At 54.0% G+C, this 20,258-nt stretch overlaps 1 protein-coding gene across 5 annotated transcripts, besides 8 other annotated features; it reads right to left on the bottom strand.

The window, feature by feature from the left end:
• LAT2 (linker for activation of T cells family member 2) lies at positions 429–20,257 on the bottom strand. 5 transcript variants are annotated; one of them, XM_047420801.1, is made up of 14 exons: positions 20,175–20,257; positions 14,924–15,441; positions 14,194–14,316; positions 13,399–13,438; positions 10,476–10,519; positions 10,255–10,303; positions 10,009–10,046; positions 9,644–9,679; positions 9,529–9,559; positions 8,571–8,626; positions 6,480–6,539; positions 6,066–6,245; positions 5,503–5,624; positions 429–1,319 (listed from the first exon to the last, which is right to left on the bottom strand). In XM_047420801.1, exons 2-13 carry the CDS (start codon positions 14,940–14,942, stop codon positions 5,521–5,523), a joined length of 780 nt encoding a protein of 259 aa, XP_047276757.1. In that variant the 5' UTR covers positions 14,943–15,441; positions 20,175–20,257; the 3' UTR covers positions 429–1,319; positions 5,503–5,520. The 5 variants fall into 5 exon arrangements, with proteins under 5 accessions (XP_047276757.1, XP_011514860.1, NP_115853.2 ...); XM_011516558.2 differs by having other exon boundaries at positions 15,164–15,441; NM_032464.3 differs by having other exon boundaries at positions 15,253–15,441.
• Positions 619–898: an enhancer, noted in NCBI's record as "active region_26146". NCBI's record gives its function as "activates an Ori minimal core promoter by ATAC-STARR-seq in GM12878 lymphoblastoid cells {active_cell/tissue: GM12878}" and the evidence as "EXISTENCE:reporter gene assay evidence [ECO:0000049][PMID:35858748]".
• Positions 6,509–6,558: an enhancer, noted in NCBI's record as "active region_26145". NCBI's record gives its function as "activates an Ori minimal core promoter by ATAC-STARR-seq in GM12878 lymphoblastoid cells {active_cell/tissue: GM12878}" and the evidence as "EXISTENCE:reporter gene assay evidence [ECO:0000049][PMID:35858748]".
• Positions 9,326–10,174: an enhancer, noted in NCBI's record as "H3K4me1 hESC enhancer chr7:73634419-73635267 (GRCh37/hg19 assembly coordinates)". NCBI's record gives its function as "activates a minimal SCP1, AML or CMV promoter by ChIP-STARR-seq in naive H9 embryonic stem cells {active_cell/tissue: H9 hESC(naive)}" and the evidence as "EXISTENCE:reporter gene assay evidence [ECO:0000049][PMID:30033119]".
• Positions 12,804–13,760: an enhancer, noted in NCBI's record as "H3K27ac-H3K4me1 hESC enhancer chr7:73630833-73631789 (GRCh37/hg19 assembly coordinates)". NCBI's record gives its function as "activates a minimal SCP1, AML or CMV promoter by ChIP-STARR-seq in primed H9 embryonic stem cells {active_cell/tissue: H9 hESC(primed)}" and the evidence as "EXISTENCE:reporter gene assay evidence [ECO:0000049][PMID:30033119]".
• Positions 17,184–17,243: an enhancer, noted in NCBI's record as "active region_26144". NCBI's record gives its function as "activates an Ori minimal core promoter by ATAC-STARR-seq in GM12878 lymphoblastoid cells {active_cell/tissue: GM12878}" and the evidence as "EXISTENCE:reporter gene assay evidence [ECO:0000049][PMID:35858748]".
• Positions 17,374–17,453: an enhancer, noted in NCBI's record as "active region_26143". NCBI's record gives its function as "activates an Ori minimal core promoter by ATAC-STARR-seq in GM12878 lymphoblastoid cells {active_cell/tissue: GM12878}" and the evidence as "EXISTENCE:reporter gene assay evidence [ECO:0000049][PMID:35858748]".
• Positions 19,134–19,223: a silencer, noted in NCBI's record as "silent region_18275". NCBI's record gives its function as "represses an Ori minimal core promoter by ATAC-STARR-seq in GM12878 lymphoblastoid cells {active_cell/tissue: GM12878}" and the evidence as "EXISTENCE:reporter gene assay evidence [ECO:0000049][PMID:35858748]".
• Positions 19,324–19,443: an enhancer, noted in NCBI's record as "active region_26142". NCBI's record gives its function as "activates an Ori minimal core promoter by ATAC-STARR-seq in GM12878 lymphoblastoid cells {active_cell/tissue: GM12878}" and the evidence as "EXISTENCE:reporter gene assay evidence [ECO:0000049][PMID:35858748]".

The following is a 20,258-nucleotide window of genomic DNA, read 5'->3' as shown; positions in this document are numbered from 1 at the left end:
GGTTCACGCCATTCTCCTGCCTCAGCCTCCCAAGTAGCTGGGACTACAGGTGCCCGCCACCATGCCCGGCTAATTTTTTTGTATTTTTATTAGAGACGGGTTTCACTGTGTTAGTCAGGATGGTCTCGATCTCCTGACCTCGTGATCCACCCACCTCAGCCTCCCAAAGTGCTGGGATTACAGGCGTGAGCCACTGTGCCTGGCCGTGTTTTGTTATGTTTTTTGAGACAAGGTCTCCCTCTTGCCCAGGCTGGAGTGCAGTGATGCAATCATAGTTCACTGCAACCTTCTGGGTTCAAGTGATTTTCCTGCCTCAGCCTCCCAAGTAGTTGAGACTACAGGCATGCACCACCAGGCCCGGCTAATTTTTATATTTTTATAAAAGGTTTTTTACCTGAAGCAGGAGAAAGGAGACACAGGATAATCACTGCTTTTCAACTAAAATGGTTTTATTGAGATGTTTTGGTTGGAGGAGATACTTTTTCTGGCAACATTTCTGACTCAAGGTCCCTCTGGGCCCCAGCTCTTCCCATGAGACAGTCACAACACTGTTTAATCAGCTCTGCAGAGGCCAGCCCTGGAGCAGAGGAGGATTCAGGGCCATGGAGGGGACCTACTCTGCCCTGTTCTGGTCACTACTTCTCTAGACTCTCATGCACTATTGTCTGTAGCAAGTGACATTTCCACTGGAAGCACATAAAGATGGCGACAGCCTCATTTCTTCCTGAGTGAACTGAAGCCCAAAGAAAGGGGAGGTCCCACCAAAGGGGAAGAGAGCCAGGGCCCCACCCAACAAGGATGCTGAAATAAACTACATGTAATGCTTTCTAGGAGACAACACAGAAATCTCTACTCTGAAATCCAGAATGTTAAATATGGCTCCCCCTCTATAAGTTAACTGTACAAGCTTATCAATCATTTAAAACCCCAGCAACCAACAATAGCAATTAGGAATCCAAATTCATAGCACAAAAGAACACAGATACCAGTGTTGGACAGTGGTTTTGTTATGGGGACTGGGTGACAGCTTATCCTAAATCCTGCGCATCCGTCCATACCAGGAGCCGGGTTACCCTTGGTACCAGGTGCCTGCCCCACAAAGCCTGGGTCGGGAGAGGGCTTGGTGACGGGCCTGCAGCTCCCGTGAGTAACTGTCTTTTCCCAGGCTGTGCACGCATGGCCAGGTGGTCCTCAGGGTGGCTGGTTCTCCTTCCAGGAGCAACCATGGCAGGGGCTTAAAAGTTGAGTAGCTCTGGGAAATGGTCCTTGGAAGGCAGCGATGGGTCCATGAGCACAGTGGTCCCTCTTTGCCTTGGCTCCTTAAATGAAGAGGAAAGTTTGTAGAAGGAGGTTTGCCTTGATCAGTATTTTGTTCCTGAGAACCATAACCACTGGTTTGGGGACACCATTGAGCCTGCCTCCTGGCTGAGAACAGAAGCCGCACATCAATAACTGGGTTTCTTTTTTTTTTTTTGAGATGGAGTCTCACTCTGTCACCCAGGCTGGAGTGCGGTGGCGCGATCTCGGCTCACTGCAAGCTCCGCCTCTCAGGTTCACGCCATTCTCCTGCCTCAGCCTCCCAAGTAGCTGGGACTACGCCACCACGCCCAGCTAATTTTTTTTTTTTTTTTTTGTATTTTTAGTAGAGACAGGGTTTCACCATGTTAGCCAGGATGGTCTCGATCTCCTGACCTCGTGATCCGCCCACCTCGGCTTCCCAAAGTGCTGGGATTACAGGCGTGAGCCACCACGCCTGGCCCATTTTGTTTGTTTGTTTTTGTGTTTTTGAGACAGAGTCTTGCTCTGTCTCCCAGGCTGGAGTGCAGTGGCGTGATCTCGGCTCACTGCAAGCTCTGCCTCCCGGGTTCACGCCATTCTCTTGCCTCAGCCTCCCAAGTAGCTGGGACTACAGGCGCCTGCCACCATGCCCGGCTAATTTTTTGTATTTTTAGTAGAGACGGGGTTTCACTGTGTTAGCCAGGATGGTCTCGATCTCCTGACCTTGTGATCCGCCCGCCTCAGCCTCCCAAAGTGCTGGGATTACAGGCGTGAGCCACCGCGCCTGGCTTTTTTTTTTTTTTTTTTTTTTTTTTTTTTAAGACGTAGTTGCCCAGGCTGGAGTGCAATGGTGCGATCTTAGCTCACTGCAACCTCCTCCTTCCAGGTTCAAGTGATTCTCGTGCCTCAGCCTCCCGAGTAGCTGGGATTACAGGCACACGCCACCACACCTGGCTAATTTTTGTATTTTTAGTAGAGATGGGGTTTCCCCATGTTGCCCAGGATGGTCTCGAACTCCTGACCTCAGGTGATCAGCCTGCCTCAGCCTCCCAAAGTGCTGGGATTACAGGCGTGAGCCACTGCGCCTGGCCTCTTCTTTTTGTTTTTGTTTTGAGACAGCGTCTTGCTCTGTGGCCCAGGCTGGAGTGCAGTGGTGCAATCACAGCTCACACAGCAGCTCAACCTCCTAGACTCAAGCTATCCTCCCGCCTCAACCTCCGAGTAGCTGGGACTACACGTATGCGCCACTACACCTGGCAAATTTTTGTATATTATGTAGAGACAGCGTTTCACCATGTTGCCTACCCCTGTCTCCACTGCTGCCACCCCTTGCCCAGATGGCACCAGTGCCTGGGTCCTTCCTGGGCTTCCTGTACCCACTCTCCCAGTACCCATTTGTCTGCCCAACAGCCAGAAAAATTGAATTAGAAACATCCAGCCAGTCTTTGTACAAAACCTTCCCATTAGCCAGGCATGGTAGCTCATGCCTGTAATCCCAGCACTTGGGGAGGCTGAGGTGGGCCGATCACTTTAGGTCAGGAGTTTGAGACCAGCCTGGCCAACATGGTGAAACCCCATCTCTACTAAAAATACAAAAATTAGCCAGGTGTTGTGGCGTGTGCCTGTAATCCCAGCTACTCGGGAGGCTGAGGCAAGAGAAACCTGAACCCAGGAGGCAGAGGTTGCAGTGAGCCGAGATCACGCCACTGCACTCCAGCCTGGGTGACAGAGCGAGACTCCCTCTCAAAAAACAAAATAAAATAAAATAAATACAAATTGGCCGGGTGTGGTGGCAGACACCTGTAATCGCAGCTACTCGGGAGGCTGAGGCAGGAGCATCGCTTGAACCCAGGAGGCGGAGTTTGCAGTGAGCCAAGATTGCACCATTGCACTTCAGCCTGGGCGACAGGAACGAAAAAAAAAAAAAAAGAAAAAACAACCTTTCTATCTCCCTCCCTCCCTCCCATCTCATGCAGTAAAACCCCAAGTGCTGGCCCTGCCTGGTCAGCCTCCCCACCAACGGCCTCGACCTCCACTAGTTTCCCCTCACCTGCTCCTCCCTGGCCCCTGGCTTTGCTCAGACCTGTGGGGCTCACTCCACCCTGGGGCCTCTGTTGTCCCCTCTGCCTGGATGTCCTTCCCCCAGATGGGGTGAGGAAGGGAGCTCTGAAAGGCTTCCCTAGCCGCCTTCCTTAAATTGCAACACTGCGTCTTGCCCACAACCCCACACTACTTCCTGCCCCGCTTCCCTGTTTTGTTTCTCTCTGCCAGACTTACCACCAGTGAACATGCCATGTCTTCTTATCTGTTTTCTTGTTGTTGTTGTTGTTTTGACAGGGTCTCACTCTGTCATCCTGGCTGTACAGTGGTACAATCATAGCTCACTGTAGCCTTGAACTCCTGGGCTCAAGCGATCCTCCTGCCTCAGCCTCCCAAGTAGCTGGGACTACAGGTACACACCACTATGCCCAGCTAATTTTTAAATTTTTTTTTTGAGATGGGGTCTTGCTCTGTTGCCCAGGCTTGAGTGCAGTGGCACGACCACAGCTCACTGCAGCAACCATGGCTCATTGCAACCTTGACCTCCCAGGCTCAAGTGATCTTCCCACCTCAGCCTCCCAAGTCAGTGGGACTCTAGGGCATCCACCACCATGCCTGGCTAATTTTAAATGTTTTTATAGAGGCTGGACATGGTGGCGTGTGCCTGTAATCCCAGCTACTTGGAAGGCTGAGGCACGAGAATCGCTTGAACCCAGGAGGTGGAGGTTGCAGTGAGCCGAGATGGCGCCACTGCACTCCAGCCTGAGTGACAGTGATACTCTGTCTCAAAAAAAAAAAAAAAAAGTTTTTGTAGAGAGAGAGGTCTTGCTATGTTGCCCAGGCTGGCCTCAAACTCAGAGGCTCAAAGGATCCTCCCGCCTCAGCCTCCCGAAGTGCTGGGATTTATAGGCATGACCGCTGTGTCCAGCCCTATCTGTTTTCTCTCTCCTACCAGAATGCAAGTTCTAAGGGGTCAGGGGTTTGCTGTTCTTTATGTTGGTGTTCCCAGCACCTAGAGCAGGACTTGCCCGTAGCAGGGGCCCAGTGGATACTGGTTGAATGAATGACGTGGGGCTCTGCACATTTGGCTCAAACTCCTGCACCTGCCTCTGGGGCTGACTCTTGACCACCCAGGTTCACTGTGGTTTCCACCCTCCAGCCTGCTCGCTGAGATGACGGCCTGGGTCTCCCAGATGGGGACTTTGGGCAGCCTTCAAGGCCCTCTGGGGGTCCATCGTGCTTCCCAAGCAGTAGACCCAGCCTAGGCTTTGATGTCTGATGTCTGACCACTGGGGATTCCATCTCCTCCTCCCCTTACTTCAAGATGTGGCCTTGGGCAGGTGGCTTAACTGCTCTGTGGCTTTGGGTGCTAAGAGATGGTGCACGTGTGAGCGCTTAGCGCCGCACCATCTCACTGGCCTGCGGTGGCTCCTCAGCGCGTCTCAGCCACTGTTACATTTCCCAACGTCCCTGCCTCCTGTCTGTTTCCAGCATTGACCGAGTGCCTGCTGGGCTGAGGCTTTGTGTGCAATGTCTGTTTTTTTATTTATTTATTGAGACGGAGTCTCGCTCTGTCACCCAGGGTTGAGTGCATGTGATCTTAACTCACCGCAACCTCCGCCTTCAGGGTTCAAATGATTCTCCTGCCTCAGCCTCCCAACTAACTGGGACTACAGGCACCCACCACCATGCCTGGCTAATTTTTTGTGTTTTTAGTAGAGATGAAGTTTCACCATGTTGGCCAGGCTGGTCTCGAACTCGTGACCTCAGGTGATCTGCCTGCCTCGGCCTCCCAAAGTGCCGGGATTACAGGCGTGAGCCACCGTGCCCGGCCGTGTGTGCGATGTCTTCTCTGAGAGGTGGGCACCAAGTGAGGAACTAAGTTCTGGGAGGTTGTCACTTGGTCCAAGGTCGCAGCCAGGAGGATGCAGTGGAGTTGGGAGACCCACCCGGTGCCCACTTCTTTGCCCCTGAAGTCACCAGAATTCCCTGCCTGACGCCCCTGGCCAGAACAGAGGAACAGAGTCGCCAAGCTGCCCTCTTGGAGCACCCATGGGTGCACCCTGTAGCCCCCACCATGGCCCCTCCACCCACACTCTCGGCTGTTCCCTTGGATTGGGGGTCCTGCAGCTTGGCAAGACCTCCAATCCTTGGCCCACGGCAGCTGGAGAGCAGGGGCTGTACCTTTCTTCTTGGTCTGCCCTAGGCTTCTGTGGCTGCCACCTCCCCATTCACGTAATCCGGTTCCCCGTCCTCCTCGTCTGGGCTTCCCACCGGGCCAGGGGATGCTTCTCTCTGGAGTTGCCCTGTGGACCAGCGGGCAGACAGGTCATCGAGTGGTTCACATGGAGACACCCATGACTGCTCCCCCAGACTCAGACCCCCAGACTCCACAAAACAGCCCGCGGGAAATGCCACGCCCGACAGGTCCTGGCGGTGTGTGTCTGTCCTGTCTCTGGGATTTGCCGGAGATCGTCCTGCTGTGAGAGCAGGTGAATGCGTTACTCCATGCATGCAGCTGGATGGGGCGGCCTGCCCGGGAGGACCTGACCCCACCCTGGAGGCTGGGCGGCTGCCAAGGGCCGTCCTGTGTGGTTCAAGGTCTCTGCAGCTGCTCCTGCACCCAGGCATCACTGCGGGGTTAGCTGGACTGGCTGGAGGGAAGCCCACTTTCAGCCTGCCCTTCCAGGCCAGTCCCTCAAGCCTGCCCTAAGTGGACCACCCTGCCTCTTCTCCCGGCCACCTACCCATGACCTTCCTGGACTCGCGCCACTGATGGATGGATGCTGAGTTCTGATAATCCTCAGATTCCTCATCTTCTTCCGGGGAGGCAGAGGGACAGAGACCAGAAGTGGGGCCAGTCTTCAGGGCCAGTGACAGGCTGAGGTCCCCTCTGCAGAGGCCACCTATGCCCTCCTGCTGGGCACCTGCAGAGAGGGAGAATAGGCCCCCCTTGGCTCAGTCCCACAGAGGCACCAGGAGCCAATAGAGCTGCCTCCGAGGATAGTAGGGGCAAGGCTCTACCGAAAGGTACCTGGGGATCCGAGAGCCTTCAGGCTTCAAAGTGGGGGCGGCCTTTGAGCAGTGGGGAGTGCAGGGGCACCTGGCCAAGGAGGCCTGCTGCTCCCAGCCCCAGCCTGCCTCTGGCTGGGCAGCCTCACCTGTCTCTGTGGTTTTCTGCTTGCAAATGAGCACATTCTCGTAGGAATTGGCATCATCATCTGCAGGAGAGAGAGGAGTGGGCACGGGGGTGTGGGCAGACCCTGCAAAGCCTGGCTCATCCTCCCGCTCTGTCCTGCCTTCCCTTTGCAGGGGACCTCTTCCGCCAAGCCCTAGCCCTCTGGGTCCCCCGGGACCTCAAGCCTTCTTCTGGATGAGCTTCCTAATGGGTGCTGGCCTGGTGCCCCTGCATGCTCTTCCCTGAGCCCTGAGCTCCTCTGTCTTCTTTGTTTCTTGTTGAGACGGTCTTGCTCTGTCACCCAGGCTGGAGAGCACTGGCAAAGTCAGCTCACTGTAGCCTCCAACTCCCGGCTCAAACGATCTTCCTACCCCGCAGCCTCCTGAGTAGCTGGAACTACAGGCATGCACCACCACGCCCAGCTAACTTTTAAAATTGTTTGTAGAGAGGATCTCGCTGTGTTGCCCAGGCTGGTCTTGAACCCCTAAGCTTAGGCAATCTTCCCAAAATGTTGGGATTACAGGCGTGAGTCACTGTGTCCAGCCTCTGTCTTCTGAGATCCCCTCCATATGCACTCTGGAGGGGGTACTCTGCGGGGGCTGCAATTCAGGCCCATGCCGGGTGGCTGGAGAGAGGGAGGGAGGCAGGGGCAGCCTCAGGGGTTCATCTCTATAATCAGGAGCTCTCCCTAGAGCCACTGCCGGGAAGGGGCTGGACTCTTCCAGATAGGGCAGGGCAGGCTGAGGATGCTTTGCTCGGGGACCCAGGCTGAGTATGGCACCTCAGCGCCTGGCACCCCATCTTGGCCTTGTAATGGGGAAGCTGGGCTCTGACTGATGCCCCACCCAAAATCCATCAGTGATGTTGGGGGTCCTAAGAAATGAGCACTGCCAGCCTGGCGGGGTGGCTCATGCCTGTAATCCCAGCACTTTGGGAGGCCAAGGCGGGCGGATCACCTGAGGTCAGGAGTTCAAGACCAGCCTGGCCAATATGGTGAAACCCTGTCTCTACTAAAAATACAAAAAATTAGCCAGGCGTGGTGGCAGGCGCCTGTAATCTCAGCTACTCGGGAGGCTGAGGCAGGAAAATCGCTTGAACCCGGGAGGCGGAGGTTGCAGTGAACCAAGATCGTGACATTGTACTCAACCTGGGTGACAGAGCAAGGCTGTGTCTCAAAAAAAAAATGGAGGTGGCAGTGGTGGGGGGCAGAAGAGGACCCCCCAACACCATGGTCCTACCCAGTATGGTCCAGGCAGGAGCCAGGTCATGGAGCTGGATTCAAACCGCAGGCCCATGCACCTCTCAGCAGGCACTGCCCACCCTGAGTCCTCAGTTGCCCTTTTTTGGGGGGATTTTTTTTTTTTTTGAGATGGAGTCTCACTCTGTTGCCCAGGCTGGAGTGCAATGGTGCGATCTTGGCTCACTGCAGCCTCCGCCTCCCGGGTTCAAGCAATTCTCCTGTCTCAGCCTCCCAAGTAGCTGGGATTACAGGCATGTGCCACCATGCCTGGCTAATTTTTTTTTTTTTTTTTTTTTGTATTTTTGTAGAGATGGGGTTTCACCATGTTGGCCACACTGGTCTTGAACTCCTGACCTCAGGTGATCCACCCACCTTAGCCTCCCAAAGTGCTGGGATTACAGGGGTGAGCCACCACACCCGGCCTCTCAGTTGCCCTTCCTATAAAGCAAAGGCATTCAGCGACCAGGTTTCTGGTGGCCTCAGAGCCTGCAGGGATCACCATCCCAGGTACCTTCTGGGGTCAGGAGAAGATGCTCAGTCCTCGTTGACAAGGACCTGGCCTCCCCCCACCTCCCCAAGCCAGCCCTCTAGTTCCCTGCCCTGTGGCCCACTCCTCTCTCCCACGCCCTGTGCCCACAGCTCTCCCACGCTGACCCGCCCGCCCCCTATCCCTTCTTGGCCCCCGCCTGCAGCACCAGCCTCCTTCTGTCCACCCAACCGGCTCTGCCGATTTACCCGAACCCAGGCCCAGCCTCCTCTCCTGCCTGGAGGTATGGCTTCTGCCCTGAGCTCCCACACCACTTCCTCCACCTCCGGCTTTGTCCTTCGCCTCACCTTCTGGGGGCTTCGAGAACCGCCCCCAGTTGTAATACTCCATGGCAATGGGGTCTCTGGCCAAGAAAACATATACAACACAGGTTTCAGGGCAGGCTGGAGATCGGGTTGGGGGCTCCATAAGGGGGCGGTGAGGCCAGGGCTGCTCCCACCATTGCTCCTCTTGGGGGCCATGGGGGTCTGCCAGGATCTCCTCTCTGATTCCCCCACCCCCACTTCCTGGGACCCCTGAGCCACCAGGGGCTGGAGCCACTTTTTTTTTTTTTTTTTTTTTTTTTTTTTGAGACAGAGTCTCTGTCACCCAGGCTGGAGTACAGTGGCATGATCTCGGCTCACTGCAACCTCAGCCTCCCAGGTTCAAGCGATTCTCCTGCATCAGCCTCCCGAGTAGCTGGGATTACAGGCACGCACCACCATGCCTGGCTAATTTTTTATTTTTAGTAGAGATGAGGTTTCACCATGTTGGCGAGGCTGGTCTTGAACTCCTGGCCTCAGGTGATCTGCCTGCCTTGGCCTCCCAAAGTCCTGGGATTACAGGCATGAGCCACCGCACCTGGTGAGCCACCTTGCTATGTGACCTTAGGCCATTCCCCATCGTTTGCCCATCTGTGAGATGATGCAACACCCCCGAGGGATTCTGGGTGTCCTGTAGCTTGTCTTTGACTGGGTGATGCTGAATGAGTCTCTATCCCCCGCCCCTGACACTCTGTGTCCCAGAGCAGGGCAAAGTCCAGTCCCCCAAACCCAGGGTTACCTAAGAGACAACAGTGTCGCCCAATGCCTGCCTGCCAGGAGAAGGAGGGGAACCTGGATGCCTCGTTCTAGTGCAAGAGGTGGTTCCTGGACCAGGAAGCCCAGGGCTGTGGCAGGCAGGTGGGGCAGGGGGAGAGGTGGGGCAGGGGGAGAGGTGGGGCAGGGGGAGAGGCGAGGCAGGGGGGACAGGATCAAGGTCACTCACATGTAGGCTTCCTCCGACCCGTGTCTGCTTCCTGCGGGAGGAGGCGAGAATTGGGCCTGAGCCCCTGGGTGTGGCCCCCACCATGGCCTCCCCCTTTCTCCAGGAGCCTACCTACCTTTGCTGAAGTTCTGGTACCTGGAAGATGCTGGATCTGGAAGAAAGACCCAGCTAATTGCTTTCTCCCCTGGCCCCTGCTTTGCACCCAGCTCGGGTGCTGCAGCCCAAGGCAGGGCCAGCTATTTCCCGTGTCTGAGCCTTTGCAGTGCTCCCTGTCCCCTCAGTGGGGCATGTGCGAGTGTGCACCCTCCCCCTGCCAGGCCGATTCCAGGAGCCTGCCCTGCCCCAGCCTGTGTGTCTCTCCTGGGGAGGCCTCGCCTGGCCCCGCAGCCCCCACTGCACGACGCCTGTCCCATGGGGTTTTCGCCTGTCTTAGTCCCAGCTTGGCTAGGCCTGTCCCTGTCCCTGCCCTGTGCCACTCACCCTCCAGGCTGGGGTAGAATTGCAACAGCTTGTCCTTCCTGCAGGGAGGGGGAAGGAGGGAGTTAAAGGAGGGGCTGTAGGGGAGAGGCCCCCCAGGACACATCCCCCCATACCCCTTGTGGGGCCTTCATAGCTGAGCCCTGGAGCTCTGGGACTCGGGGAGGGAGGGAGGTCTTGACCTGGGCTCACCAGGTGAGGACCTCCAGGACTTTCATTCTTGTCACTTCCTGGGGGACTGTGACCTACCTTGTGGGTGCCATGTCCGCCAGGGGTCCTGGCCATGCCTGCCCGACCACTACAAAGGGCAAGAAGTGGGGTGTTGGCTGGGCCCCCAGCTAGCCCAGCCCCCTCACCCCATCATCCCCCCACATCAGGCCTGGCCACGGTCTCAGGTCAATGGGGACCGAGATAACTTGATAGGGACACCCCCAACCCAGAGCCCAACCCGGGGACACTTGGAGACTCACAGGAGTAGGTCCGGGACCCCGTAAAGCTCTGTTGGTCCTCACGCCTGGAAATGCATGGGCTGTGCTGAGCCTGGGCCTGGACTCCCACAGCCCAAGAACACAGGGACAGGAGGGAGGGACAGGCAGGGATGAGGAGGGAAAGCAGAGGGACGGACTGGGGCGACAGTGGGGAGGAACTGCTGCCCTTTCAGGCCTCATTCTCACGGCTCCCCATGCTATCCCCATTCTCTGGCCCCTCCGTGCACTGGGTGCCCAACCCTCACACAGGGCCCTGGGCTGGAGCCCGGCTCTCAGCCAGACCCATCCCTGACATGGCCTCAACAGGGCCACATCCTGCCGGTGGGTCCCAGGCCCCTGGAGACGGGTCAGGAGGGGTCTGTGGACAGGGCTGTGGAGGTAGCCCTGAGATTCTGGGGCATGAGGGTGAATGAAGGCAGGTGCTCAGGGACCCAGCAATGACTTGGGGTAAATTATTTCAGCCAGGAGTGACGATGAGGCTGCCTCCCACCTGCTGGTCCCAGGGAGCGTTTGCAATTCCTTAAAAAAGCACACACTCACCCCGTCTCTACTAAAAATACAAAAAATTAGCCGGGCGCGGTGGCGGGCGCCTGTAGTCCCAGCTACTCGGGAGGCTGAGGCAGGAGAATGGCGTGAACCCGGGAAGCGGAGCTTGCAGTGAGCCGAGATTGCACCACTGCAGTCCGCAGTCTGGCCTGGGCGACAGAGCGAGACTCCGTCTCAAAAAAAAAAAAAAAAAAAAAAAAAAAAAAAAAAAAAAGCACACACTCTAGACCCGGCATGGTGGCTCACACCTGTAATCCCAGGGCTTTGGGAGGCCAAGGCAGGCGAATCACCTGAGGTTGGGAGTTCAAGACCAGCCTGACCAACATGGAGAAAACCCCGTCTCTACTAAAAATACAAAAATTAGCTGGGCATGGTGGCGCATGCCTGTAATCCCAGCTACTCGGGAGGCTGAGACAGGAGAATCGCTTGAAGCCAGGAGGCAGAGGTTGCAGTGAGCCAAGATCATTCTACTGCACTCCAGCCTGAACAAAAGTAAATGTGGCTCCATCTCTAAATAAATAAAGAAATAAATAATAGACTATTCCTAGCCTTCCTTGCACCAAAGTGTGGCCATGGATTAAGCTCTGGTCTATGAGATTCAAGCCAAGGTTGTTGATATTTCCAATAAATCTTTTTAAACGGGGGCACTGGCAACTGGGAGACACCCTTTGTATCCTTGTTCATTCTTTCTTCCTGCTGCTGGGAATGCAGAGATGAGGGCCGGCACCCCAGCTGCCATCTTGGACCATGAGGTGCTCTTGAAAATGGAAGCTGCCATTACAGATAATGGAGTGGATTAGCTCATTATTAAAGCAGGTTTGGGGGCTCCTCCTCTGAACCAGAATGGGTACCTGGCCCAGCCTTCCAAGCTCCTTGAAGACTGGGGCTCAGGGTGACCTGATTTAGGAGAGATACCCTAAATCCACAGGAGAGAGTCAGTCAGACGTGGCTTCCTGGGAGAAGCAACAGAGGAACGGAGCCTGTGCTCACAGCAGTCGCTTCATGCAGGCTGGTGGGACTGAGCCCAACCGAGGTGACAGATGGAGAGGCAGGCACAGGCATTCCAGGGAGAAGACCAAACAGCTCCCCTCCACCTCCCACATGGGGACGCTGAGTCTGGCCCTGACCATCTATGGCTCTAAGATCAATCAGGGGGCTGGGGGTGGGCAGGGCCTGAGGGGAGAGGGGAAGTGTCCGAGGAGTCAAGGGCATGGGGGGCATCGGGGGAGGTTGCAGGCGGCCAGAAAGCCACGTGGCCAGAAAGACCCAGAAAGGTCTAACCCTGGCCCACGATGAGCAAGGATGGGAAGATTCTATTTTCAAATCTCACTGTGGTTTTTCAGTTGCAAAAGGAAATGAGGAAGGATGTGTGTGCGGGTGTGCGTGTGTGGGTCATGAGTGACTGCTCGGGGGTGCACATGGACCTCCAAGGTTTCCTGGGCCCACAGCCATTCTCTTAATCAAAGGACACCTGTGGCCACTGCCCATGTGCCTGGGTTGTTCTGGGTTTCAGCCCCAGTCTGCAGTGTCGAACCCACTGCCCTTCCCTGGGTCTTTCTCACAGTCCTTCCCTGGTCCCCCGAGGGACTTGCCCACATCCTCCCCTGAGCTCCGGCAGTTTTTTCCAGGGGAGTCTCCGACAACGTTCACATTTCACCCTGTGCCGGGTTCTCTGTCTCTTGCATTGCAAGGGGAGAGCGGACTAGCCCCTGGGGATTGGGGTCAAAGGGAGGCTGAGGACACAGGTGCCTGGTGGACCTCTATTTTTTTTTTCTTTTCTTTTTTTCTTTTCTGAGACGGAATCTTGCTTTTTTGCCCAGGCTGGAGTGCAGTGGCACAATCTCGGCTCTCTGCAACCTCCACCTCCTGGGTTCAAGTGATCCTGCTGCCTCAGCCTCCAGAGTAGCTGGGAGTAGAGGGACCCACCACCACGCCCAGCTCATTTTTGTATTTTAGTAGAAATGAGGTTTCACCATGTTGGCCAGGCTGGTCTCAAACTCCTGACCTCAGGTGATCCACCTGCCTTGGCCTCCCAAAGTGCTGGGATTACAGGTGTGAACCATCGTGCCTGGCCAGATGCCTGGACTTCTGGAGGGGTTCACAGGCAAGCTGAAGAGTGGCTAGCCCCACAGCCCAGGCGTCCCCGCCTCCCAAAGCCCTCCCTAACCCAAGCTACAGCAGGGCCTGGACAGCCCCTGGACACTTTCTCTCCCTTCTCTGATGGCTAGGGACCCACTAGAACTTGGCACGGAGGAGGTGTGAGTGAAGGGGTGAAGGATGGGGTGCTAGGAATTCCCTTGAGGACGTCCATGCCCAGGGCACATGAATACACCAGGCTAGGGACATCGAGGCAACTCACAGACTTCTCTGCTGGTAGATTTTCTCTGACCTCTTTGCACCTGCAAGAAAAGGCCAGGATTAGCAAAGGGTCTGGGAGCAGCTGCGACCTGAGGTCAGACACCCCCCGCCATGTCTTGTCTCCAGCAGGACTCAGACAGGACTTGGGGGCCAAACTGTCAATCATCACCGGCCACCTGATATTAAAGAATATTTGGGACCAGGTGTGGTGGCTCCCTCCTGTAATTCCAGCACTTTGGGCCGAGGCGGGAGGATCACATGAGGTCAGCAGTTCGTGACCAGCCTGGCCAACATGGGGAAACCCCGTCTCTACTAAAAACACAAAAATTAGCCAGGCATGGTGGCAGGCACCTGTAGTCCCAGCTACTCAGGGGGTTGAGGCAGGAGAATCGCTTCAACCCGAGAGTTGGATGTTACAGTGAGCCAAGATTGCATCACTGCCCTCCAGCCTGGGAGACCAGAGCAAGACTCTGTCCAAAAAAAAGAAAAAAGGGTATTTGCTCACCCTTTTTTAGAAGAGGAGAGGCTAGAAAAGTGGATGCCACAGGCAACCTCGCCTCCCCTCCCTCGTCTGGGGCAATCTCTCTGGCTCGAGATACCACAGTTGACCCAGCAAAGCCAAAGCCCTCGGGTGCACCTGACCATTGTCTTCAGGGGGCAGTTTAGGGGTCAGGGGTCACATCACGAGGTTCATCTGACCACCTCTTCTGACCACAGCCACGTCTGGGCCTGAGAGGGCCTCTGAGATGCACTGTCCACACCTTCTCCCCATCACGTCCCCGAGACCCCCGCTTACCTGGGCGTGAGCAGCGCACACACAGACTGGCTGCCACCCCCAACAGCACCAGCAGCGCTGCTCCGGGCCACAGCAGTTCAGTCCCCGAGCTCATGTTGGCTCCTGGTGTTGCCTCTTGTGATGCTGAAATGGGAGGTGCCCGTGAGCAAGGGGCCCCTTTTTCAGGAATCCTACCCCACACCCCCACTGTGCTCGGACAGCCCCATACCTGAGCCTAGGCTGCGGAAACACCACCTCCCCTCCCCGCTCCTGCACTGGGCAAGGACAGAACCAGTCCTGTTCACCCCATGTGACCCCAAACCAACACCTCTGCCCTGTGGGCCATCTTCACCCTTGATAAGTGCTGGAAGGTTCTGGGGGCCCACAAGACAGCCCCATGTGCACGCACACAGCCCTACACACAGCCTCGCTTAATCTAGACAACTGCCCTTTGAGGACGAGGTTCACTGCATTTCACAAATCGAGAAACTGAGGCCAGAGAGCTCACGTCTGCTAAGTGGAAAGATGGGATTCAGGCCCCAGTGTCCTGCCCCTAACCCTGGCTCTGCCCATCAACCCACAGTGGGTTGCCTCCAGTAAACCCACCCTGGCTCCTGGAGGTGACAGTCTGTGGCCACCACTCACGCAGACGCACCCGGAAGCCCTCGCCCACCCCAGAGCAACTCAGGGCTCCTCTATGCTTCGCAGGACCCCTCTCTGCCCACCTCCTGCCTTGGGGTCCCCCCAGGACCTGGGAATGGGGCTTCCATTCCTGAAACAACTGCAAGCCCAGATTCTGCCTGTGGTGGGAGCTGGGAGGAGGGAGGTCAGGGAAGGCTTCTTGGAGGAGGTGGCCCAAGAGCATGATCCGCAGAGGGATGGGGCCCTAGGGCACTGCTGCAGGTGGCTGGGATGACATGAGCTGGGATGCCAAGGATGGGCTAAAGACAGGATGTTCAGAGGGAGGGAGCCCTGAATCTCTGGCTGGCACCTGACCGGCTTCTCGGTCTGTGGCTGGTCCCAGCCTTGGAGCCACAGCGTGATGACCAGGCCTCAGCAAAACATACGCACACCACCCACCGTGGCCTGGTGAATGGAGGCGTGGCCCTCTCGAGTGGGTTTCCAAGAACTGTTGCAACTAGGAACAGACCCTGGCCAGGAGCGGTGGCTCACGCCTATAATCCCAGCACGTTGGGAGGCCGAGGCAGGGAGGATCGCTTGAGATCAAGAGCTCCAGACCAGCCTAGGCAACACGGTGAAATTCCATCTCTACAAAAAAAATACAAAAAAAAAAAAAAATATATATATATATATTTATATATATATGTTTATATATATATATTTATATATTTTTATATATATTTATATTTTTATATATATTTATATATATTTATATATATTATTTTCATATATATATTTATATATATATTTTCATATATATATATTTTCATATATATATATATATATTCATATATATATTTATATATATTTTCATATATATATTTATATATATATTTTCATATATATATATTTTCATATATATATATATATATTCATATATATATTTATATATATTTTCATATATATATATTTATATATATATTTTCATATATATATATTTATATATATATTTTCATATATATATTTATATATATATTTTCATATATATATATTTATATATATATTTTCATATATATATATTTATATATATATTTTCATATATATATATTTATATATATATTTTCATATATATATATTTATATATATATTTTCATATATATATTTATATATATATTTTCATATATATATTTATATATATATTTTCATATATATATATTTATATATATATTTTCATATATATTTTCATATATATATTTTCATATATATTTTCATATATATATTTATATATATTTTCATATATATATTTTCATATATATATTTATATATATTTTCATATATATATTTATATATATATTTTCATATATATATTTATATATATTTTTTCATATATATATATTTATATATATTTTTTCATATATATATATATATACATATATATGGCTGCAGTGAGCTGTGATCATGCTACTGCACTCCAGCCTGGGCAACAGAGTGAGACTCCGTTTCAAAAAATAATAATAAGGAGACCTGGCCCCCTGGAGATGGCTGGGGACAGAGTTGAGGGTGGTGGGGTCTCTGAAGGGGTTGAGTATGGTGGGCATTTGTGGAGCCAACACTCCCGAGTGTCCACTCTCCCCCACCCGCCGTGTTCTTCCCACCCTGGCCACCAGTGAGGAGGGCTTCTCCCCATCCCACAGCTGGGGAAGGTGAGGCTTGGAGCAGTAAACAGGACTTAAAAGGGAGGAGCTCCAGCAGGGCGTGGTGGCTCACGCCTGTAATCCCAGCACTTTGGGAGGCCAAGGCGGGCAGATCACGAGGTCGGGAGTTCGAGACTAGCCTGACCAACATGGTGAAACCCCATCTCTACTAAAAATACAAAAATTAGCCGGGTGTGGTGGCACACGCCTGTGATCCCAGCTAATCAGGAGTCTGAGGCAAGAGAATCACTTGAACCTAGGAGGTGGAGGTTGCAGTGGGCCGAGATCATGCCACTGCACTCCAGCCTGGGCAACAGAGCGAGACTCCATCTCAAAAAAAAAAAAAAAAAAAAATGGCCGGGCACAGTGGCTCATGCCTGTAATCCCAACACTTTGGGAGGCTGAGGCGGGTGGTTCATGAGGTCAGGAGTTCAAGACCAGCCTGGCCAAGATGGTGAAACCCTGTGTCTACTAAAAAAGAATACAAAAAATTAGCCAGGTGTGGTGGTGGGCGCCTGTAATCCCAGCTACTCAGGAGGCTGAGGCAGAGAATTGCTTGAACCAAGGAGGTGGAGGTTGCAGTGAGCTGAGATCACGCCACTGCACTCCATCCAGCCTGGGCAACAAGAGCGAAACTCTATCTCAATAATAATAATAATAATAATGGAGGAGCTCCAGGCTGCCTACCTCCTGCCTTGGGATCCCCCTGAGGTCCACCAGGACCTGGGCTGTCCCCCTTGAAAGCTGTGTGGCTTTGGACAAGTCTCAGGACCTCTCTGGACTTCCCAAATCCCTGCGGTAAGATGACAGGGAATCTCCATGCGGCCCTGAGCCTCTGTAAGAGGCGCATCACAGAGAAGCCACCAGGCCTCTCCCCAAAAGCCAAGTGAGTCAGTGGGAACAAGTGAATTTCTGAGCCGTGTGACTGGCACGACCCACGTCACCCCGGGAGGTTGTCCGAGGAAAGCTCTGCTCTCTCTTCCCCATGGCCCGCCTGGGCACTGCCCTTCTCCCTCCTCGAAACTCTCCTTGCCTCAGTGCCCCCAACCCGGGGTGTACCCCCAACCCCTCCAGCATGGCCCAAGTTCATCTCAGGCTTGTGAGGTTGGAGCAACTTGTCTTGCAGGAGGGCTCATGGGACCAAATCTAGCCTCTGCCTGAGAGCCCCCCGCCTCAGTTTTCTCATCTATAAAATGAGGTCGGGCTGGGTACAGGGACTCACACCTGTAATCCCAATACTTTGGGAGGCTGAGACAGGAGGATCACTTGAGTTTGAGACCAGCTTGGCCAACATGGTGAAACCCTGTTTCTACTAGAAATACAAAAATTAGCCAGGCGTGGAGGTGCAAGCCTGTAATTCCAGCTACTTGGGAGGCTGAGGCATGAGAATCACTTGAACTCAGGAGGCAGTGAGTTGCAGTGAGCTGAGATCACGCCAGTGCACTCCAGCATGGGAGACAGAGTGAGACTCCATCTCAAAATAATAATAATAATAATAATAAATTAAATAAATGAATAAATAAAATGGGATCAGGCTGGGCGTGGTGGCTGACGCCTGTAATCTCAACACTGGGAGGCCGAGACAGGAGGATCGCTTGAGGCCAGGAGTTCGAGACCAGCATGGACGATGTAACAAGGCCCTGTCTCTACAAAAAAATGAAAAAATTAGGCAGGCGCAGTGGCACATGCCTGTGGTTCCAGCTACTTGGGACACTGAGGCAAGAGAATTGCTTGAGCCCAGGAGTTGGAAGCTGCAGTGAGCCAAGATCACACCACTGAACTCCAGCCTGGGTGACAGAGCAAGACCCCATCTCTAAAAACAAAAAATGAAATTTAACAAACAGTCATGTGTCTGCCCCCAGACTGAATACATCCTGCGCTGTTGGCCGGGTGCGGTAGTTCACACCTGTAATCCCAACACTTTGGGAGGCTGAGGCGGGCAAATCATCTGAGGTCAGGAGTTCAAGACCAGCCTGGCCAACATGGTGAAACCCTGTCTCTACTAAAAATAAAAAATTAGGCCAGGCACGGTGGCTCACACCTGTAATCCCAGCACTTTGGGAGGCCGAGGCAGGCAGATCACAAAGTCAGGAGATTGAGACCATCCTGGCTAACATGGCGAAACCCCGTCTCTACTAAAAATACAAAAAATTAGCCGGTCGTGGTGGCAGGCGCCTCTAGTCTCAGCTACTCGGGAGGCTGAGGCAGGAGAATGGCATGTACCCGGGAGGTGGAGCTTGCAGTGAGCCAAGATTGCACCACTGCACTCCCAGCCTGGGAGACAGAGCAAGACTGTCTCCAAAAAATAAAAAATAAATAAAAAATAAAAAATTAGCCAGGTGTGGTAGCACGTGCCTGTAGTCCCCAGCTACTTGGAAGGGTAAGGCAGGAGAACTGCTTGAACCTGGGAGGTGGAGGTTGCAGTGAGCCGAGATCACGCCACTGCACTCCAGCCTGGACAACAGAGTGAGACTCCGTTTAAAAAAATTCTGTGCTCTCTCTCTGTCTCTGTCTCCCTTTGTGTCTCTGTCTCGCTCTCACTTTCACTCTCCCATCCAGGTTCTGAAAGCAGGTGGGCTGAGGTGGAGGGAGCGGAGGGTGGACCCTCTGAGGCCCCCAGGGGCCGGCAGGGCTGGGCGGGGTGGGGAGTGGGGGCTGCCACAGACCACGGTTCTGCAGAGGCCAAAATAGCACTAAAGGGAAGTGGGCAGTTTTCATATGAACAACGATTGCCAAGAGCTGGCTTCGGGGAAGTTCTCGGGGCTGGGCTGGAGGAGCTACAGTGTCTGAATCCCGCCTGGAAGGACGCTCGAGACCACCCTGCCGGTTCTCCCAGCCTTCTCCGAGCTGAGCTGTGGTTGGGGACACTGGGGTTGGGGAGGGGGCAGCCTGGCTTGAAGCCCTGGATGGCTTTATCCACTGGACTCTGCTCTGGGGTCTGTTGGTTTTTTCATTTAGTTTTTAATTATATTTTTTTATTTTTATTTTTTAAAGAGATGGGAGTCTCACTATGTTGCTCAGGCTGGTCTCCAGCTCCTGACTTCAAATGATCCTCCCGCCTTGGCCTCCCCAAATGCTGGGATTACAGGTTGAGCCACCGTGCCCGGCTGGTCCTGTTGCTTTTTCCAAATAACTCTGGGCTTCAAATGAGCCTAGCTGGGAGGGAGAGAGGGAGGCGGGCGGGTGCAGGAGGGGCCTGAGCAGCCCTGGTCCCAGGGACAGAGTTGAGGGCCAGGTAGGGGGCTGGGCAGGGAGGCAGTGGGGGTTCTTCACCTGACCTGGGGCAAGACCTGGGCCCTGGCCTGTAATCCCACCGTTTTCCCCTGACCTGTGTAGGGGGTTACAGTCCCATTTCACGGATGAGGAAACCGAGGCTCCCAGGCCAGGGCAGCCACTGTTTTGGCTCTCGGCCACTTACTTCACCAGTCTCTGGCAATGATGGGACCACCCTGGGATGTCCCAAGGCTACACAGGCTGGACAGGGGAAGGCGAGGGCAAGAGAGTGGCCAGAAGCCCAGAAACAAACTGACCCCTGAAGTGCCACAGAGCCTGGTGCCAGGGTGAGAGTGGGGCTGCGGGAGGGGGCGCCAGGCATCCAGGCCTCTTCCCACCCCACCCAGTGGGGCCAGGAGCTCCTGGGGGATGGGGGACAGCCTGAGGACTGAGGCACCCCTGGGAAAGGCTTACCTGAGAGTCCAGGGTTCCTCACCACGGCCGCCCCATCCTGAGCCCGCACACCTGCCCAAGCTGATGCCAACACCACTGACACTG

This window comes from Homo sapiens, chromosome 7 (assembly GCF_000001405.40).
Source record: "Homo sapiens chromosome 7, GRCh38.p14 Primary Assembly".
NCBI lineage: Eukaryota > Metazoa > Chordata > Mammalia > Primates > Hominidae > Homo > Homo sapiens.
This window is presented reverse-complemented; position numbering and strand designations above follow the sequence as displayed.